The sequence below is a fragment of the Homo sapiens genome, chromosome 6 (assembly GCF_000001405.40).
Source record: "Homo sapiens chromosome 6, GRCh38.p14 Primary Assembly".
In the NCBI taxonomy this organism is placed as follows: domain Eukaryota; kingdom Metazoa; phylum Chordata; class Mammalia; order Primates; family Hominidae; genus Homo; species Homo sapiens.
The window spans coordinates 8,255,275-8,261,274 of record NC_000006.12 but is presented as its reverse complement, the minus strand read 5'-3'; the positions used below and the strand labels follow the sequence as shown (position 1 = coordinate 8,261,274).

The following is a 6,000-nucleotide window of genomic DNA, read 5'->3' as shown; positions in this document are numbered from 1 at the left end:
AGTCACAACGGTAAGTCAAGAGGTGCTGTAGCACCATTTTATGGGCTCAAAATAAAGTCTGTTAGACATTTTCAGATACCCATTTCTTGTTCAAAAATTATTCTTTCCTTTTAAGAAAAAAAAAAAAAAAAGGATCCCAATGATAAACACCTTTCCACGAAGGTACCTTGTCAGATAGTGGGACATTTCTAAATAACATGTTCCCAGATTTGATCAGGCTTGTTTTGTCTGGCAAATGAATTATGTAAACCTTATCCACCAGAAACTGTTTCAAGTCAATTAATTGTTGTAATTACTTAAGATTTCTTTTTAATGAATATGGCTCTCCAGGGATTCGATGATATCCTGTCATCTGTAGGGCCTGATAAATGAAATGTGATTTGTGGCTCACTGCAAACTGAACCCTTGTACTTGAGCAATGTCTGCTTCCTGCGTGCTCGTTAAATGGAAGAAATGCCCTTGATGGAGGCAGGGACATTCATTATAAACAGTTCCCAGTTAGCTTGAAAATGAGGGGCTGAATTGACTGTACTCACCCTTCTTGCTCTCTTTCTCTCCTTCCATCCCTTTGGAAGGGAATTAACCAAGCCCATGACCTCAGTGAAGCTGCACATCATAATCATCATCAGTCTCACCATTCTGTCACTCATCTCCATTAGGTTCAATAAATTGAGGTCTCGAACAGCTATATGGGGATGATCTTGGAAGCTAATATAGAAAGCAAAGGATTATTTTTCCAGCTCTGCTGGCTCTCTGTCTCTCTTTCTTCCTCTATCTCTCTCTCCACCGCCCCCCCAACTAATATTTCTCTCATTTTTAAGGATTCATCTCTCCAAGAATTGATAAAGTAGGGTAACTTCTCTCTTTCAGGGCCACCCCATTTCCCAGTGATTAGTAAATTAGACTATAGCTAAAGAAAGGGAATCTAAAAATGGTACAGCAAAGTTCTGGAAACCAGTCCCAATTTTCAGAAATATGGGCACCCTCTATTCTAGCAAACAAAACTCTGTAATGAAACACAAATTTTCAACTTATCTATTATCGTCAGTGGTTTTATTTTTGCCCAGCGAAACATTTAGTCTACCCCAATAAAATAATGTTTTTCTGGGACATTTCTATTTGGTGGAACTCATAAAGTATGTGTTCATAAAGAGGCTTCTGTCAAAATTTATAGAGAGGATTAAAATAAATGAACATTACTGAGCCCACAACACTCTTATAAAACAGTATTGCTATACTCATGGTCTCAAATCAAATGTTTTTTGATTCACAACTGAAAACAGTCAGATTGGAAATACTACAAATAAAAGATATGTTTTCTTTGAAATTCATCACTTTTGCTGAAATTTATGCCACTGGATTGTGTGAAACTGGTTATAATGCATACCTGTAATAAAACTCTCCAACCACAATTCTAAACAGTTATCAATTACTATCCCTAAACAGCAATGTTTGCTGATTTGAAGTGAATTAAGATTTCGCCTTCTGTATTGCAGACTGTTACCATTCCCCTACAAATTCACTAGTTTTAACCAAATTTAAATAGGAAAGATATTGTAGTAAACAAACATTGATTTAAGACTATACGCCTTTTCACAATGGCATATCTTGCACTGCTTTAAAGGCATAACTCGAGGAAAAAAACTAGGAATATAAAAGACATTTGAAATTAAGAAATTTGTTGGACGTATTCATTCAATCAATAAACATGTATTTAGTGGCAGATAAAGAACCAGGCACTTGTCTAGACCTTTTAGTGACAATGATGAACCACCACCTTGATCACCCCATTTATTCAATATTTACCACAAGCCAAGCACTGTCCCAAGAGCTTTGCAAACAAGACACACTCCCTGTCCTCAAGGACTCACTGAGCCTTTAAACAATCTTTTGTTTAAATAAAGATTTCACAAGACAGAACAACTAGATTGCAATGTGCAACTTCTATTGACTGCCTCTGTAAGGTGAGTACCCAGAGGCAATAGTTGTTAGTTATTATTTATTTTTTATTTATTTGTTCATTTATTTTTTGAGACGGGTCTCACTCTGTCACCCAGGCTGGAGTGCAGTGGCGCGATCTTGCCTCACTGCAAGCTCTGCCTCCCAGGTTCACACCATTCTCCCGCCTCAGCCTCTGGAGTAGCTGGGACTACAGGCGCCCGCCACCACACCTGGCTAATTTTTTTGTATTTTAAATAGAGACGGGGTTTCACCGTGTTAGCCAGGATGGTCTGATCTCCTGACCTCGTGATCCGCCCGCCTCGGCCCCCCAAGGTGCTGGGATTACAGGTGTGAGCCACCGCGCCCCGCCTAGTTATTATTTATTACCTGGGCTGGGTAAGTACCCATTGCTGGGCATTTATGCAGATGGTCCCCTCATGGTAAAGAGCTGCCCAAGTTCTGGGTCTGATACCAAACCCAATAACTGCATGATTTTTGGCAAGTTATGGTCATCTCTTTACCTCTGCTTCCTCCTCTGTCAAAATGCAAATAATATCCATAATGATGATGATGATGATGATGACGATGGTACCTACCTCTCAAGATTTGTGTGAATTCAATGATTTCATGTATTATAAGCACTTTGTGCCGAGGACAGAACAACTGATCAATAAATTGTTTGTTATTGTTACCATCATCACAGCAGGCAAGTTAAGCATTATTATCTAAATTTAAGCAGTGAAAAAATAGAGGCACAGAGAAATTAAGTAACATTCCTAATATTATATGGCTAGGAATAGAACTAAAATTCAGAACAGCTTTCTTTCCCGACACTGGCAAGTGCTGCCTAGATGAATTGCTGGGTACAATTCTGCAGCATATCAGTTATTTTCTCCTCCTTTTCCTCTTCCCCTTCTTCCTCCTCTCCCTCCTCTTCCCCTTCTTCCTCCCCTTCTTTATCATCATCATCATCATCAGTAACCATAGGCATGTATTGAGATCCTAGGTGGCATACTACACTAGGAACAGTGGATTTGATACCATTTTAGTTGGATGCAGTCTTTCCCTTCTAAGATAGGACGGTAAAGAAGTGGCACAGAACAAACCGGATCCCTTAATAAACCCCTATAAAATATGTGGTATTGGGTTCATTTTGCCATAAAATTGATACTCTGATTGATTAAATAACTTGCCTAAGGTCACACAGAAAGTGGTTGGAAATGAAAGAAAGATCTCCTATTTCCCAAGATTTTGTGACGTAAAAATTATTAGAAAGGGCAATGAGTTTTCCCTGTTCCAACTATGCTATGTCTCCTGAGCCCCCTTTTGACCGATGACACCTCATTTCATTTATTTTTAAATAATTTTTTCTAAGAATTTGCTCCCATTTATTTTTCTACATACATTTATTTTCTATACACATTTCAGAATCACCTTGTCAAACTCACACATTAATTTTGTTGAAATTTTGCTGGTGGTGGTGTTGTTTGTTGTCTGTTGTTTTTTGAAACATGATCTCATTCTGTCACCCAGCCTGGAGTGCAGTGGTGCAATCATAGCTTACTGCAGCCTCAACCTCCCGGGCTCAAGCGATCCTCCCACCTCAGCCTCCCAAGTAGCAGGAACAACAGGTGCATGCACCACCATGCCTTGCTAATTTTTGTATTTTTAGTAGGAACAGGGTTTCACCATGTTACCCAGGCTGGTCTCAAACTGCCGGGCTCAAGCGACCTGCCTGCCTCGGCCTCCCAAAATGCTGGGATTACAAGTGTGAGACACTGCACCTGGCCAGAATTTTAATTAGAATTATATTAAATCTATCAATTAATTAAAGAAATTTGACATACATACTTTAAATACTCAGTTTTCCGTTTAGCAACTTCATTTGTCTTTCTTTTAATTTGTCAACTTTTACTTTCTTTATTATATGTTCCTATATTTACTCAGGCAGATCCTGAACATTTCAGGTTCAAAATGTTTTAGGTAGTTTTTAGAGACAATTTGCTATTGACAATTTGCAAAAGACCCATTTTCCATTATATTTTCTAACTGGAAATTATTGATACTTAGGAAAGTATTAATTTTTTAAAAAAATTATTTTAACCAGTAATTTATACTTGTCCCATCCAAGTGTGTTTTTCTGCTTTTCTTGGTCACAGAGCTACCCAGATTTCCCAAACCCTCTTGAAGCTCAGCAGGTGAAATGTCTGGCCAATGGGATGTGGATAGAAGTGATATTTGCAACTTCCAAGTTATCACTAAAAACATTTGTGTTTTTATCCTGGAGCACAAGCTTGAGATGAATCATTTTTAAGCACAAAGAATTAAACAGCATTCTAGAGCAGAATTTAGCAAACTATGGCCTGTGGATCAGATCTGACCTGTAGCCTGACTTTTGTATGGCCCGTGAGCTAAGAATCGTTTTACCTTTTTAGATGGTGGTAAAAAGATAAATACAAAAGGAAGAGAGAGAGAGAGCGAGAGGAGATGGGATAGGGAGAAAAAGAAAATGTGTCAGAGACTATATGAATCTCAAAGCCTATCTGGCTTATTACAGAAAACGTTTGCCAACTCCCATCCTAGGGGACTATTGTCAGGAAGATAGAAAGAACCTGGGTCTCTGAATCACCATGTGGAGCAGAGCAGTTGTATCATTCTTGAACCACTGAACTCTGGACTAGTGTGACAGGTGAAAATAGATTCCCATCTTATTTAATCTATCATATTCAGGCTCTCCTTGTTACAAGAACCATTTATCTAATTAATCAACTAACTAACCTTATTAGTTTGGACAGTTTTTCAGTTGACCTCTTGCAATTTCTAGATAAACTATCATTGGCAAACAATAATAGGGTTTTTTTTTTCCTCAGTAACAAACATGTTATATCTTCTATCCTTGTTTTTGGTCTTATTTTTTAATAGCTGGAGGTTTCAAGACAATATAAATTGATAGTGGCAGCAGCATACATCCATGTTTTGTTCTAAATTATAATGGCAATGCCTCTAGCTCTTTACTGCCTAGTAAACTATTACCTTCTGATTGTAGATATTTTTCATTATCCTAAGCATATTCAGAAGAAAAATTGTTCAATGTTTTTTCTCCTCTTTGATTTATCCTTTTCAAGTTTTGATATCAAATGTATTCTATTTTTATGAAAGGAATTGGAAAGTTTTCCATCTATGATTAGCTTGTATAGCTTAGAAAGAGCTATGATTTAAAAGTTTGAGAAAAATTATGTCAGAATAATCCAGCTGCAGAGCATTTTTTTCTTCAAAAAGTTAATTTCTTTCATCACAATATTCAGTTATCTATTTCTTGAGTTGATTATAATAATTCATATTTTCCTTTAAAATTATTTTGCCACCAAATTATTAACAGACTTATGTTAATAGGTCTATACACAGCATTCTCTTTAAATTATTTGATTTATTCAATATCTGATGTAATAATTGCTTTCCTATTTTGCTTGTCTTCTTTCATTTTTTGTTATCAGAATTTTCAGACATTTGTTGCTTTTTAACTTTTTTCCAAAGGGCACATTCTTTGATTTTGTAACTTAATTTTGTATTTGCTTTCTAACAAATTTATTTTGTGGTTGTGTTTATTTCTATAATATTCTTATTTCTACATTGGTTATTAAGCTTTTAAATAAACTGTATAATTCTTATTTTTTCTTTTTCAATAATAGAAATTTATACTGCTACAAATTTGCATCAGAGTCCAAATCCTGTTAAGTAACATCCTATTGCTTTTGAGAGGTAGTGATCTTCATCACACTATTTTAAGATACCGTGTGTTGTAGCTTGGGGTTCCCAGAAAGCAGACCCTGAACAAGTACTTGGGCGTAGAAAGTTATCTAGAATGTGATTCTGGGAAGCATAAAAGAGGAAGTAGAGAAAGTGATAATGGGCAGGAGAAAAGCCAATAAAGAGTGAATTAATAAGTGGTTTAATGCTATGAGCAACGGGAACTCCATCTCTGAAAAAAAGTTGATAGCATGTCCTGGAAATGTCCCATTGAGGAAAGGGAAAGCTGGGATATGTACCCGTAAACATTCC

At 36.7% G+C, this 6,000-nt stretch overlaps 1 long non-coding RNA gene across 1 annotated transcript in view; it reads right to left on the bottom strand.

Moving 5' to 3' along the window:
- Positions 1 to 292: 292 nt before the first annotated feature.
- The window catches only part of LOC105374910 (uncharacterized), a 102,802-nt gene continuing 97,094 nt past the window's right edge, over positions 293 to 6,000 (bottom strand). Inside the window, exon 4 of the long non-coding RNA XR_001743950.2 lies at positions 293 to 708. This is a non-coding gene — a long non-coding RNA (uncharacterized LOC105374910). The remainder of the gene's footprint in view (positions 709 to 6,000) is intronic.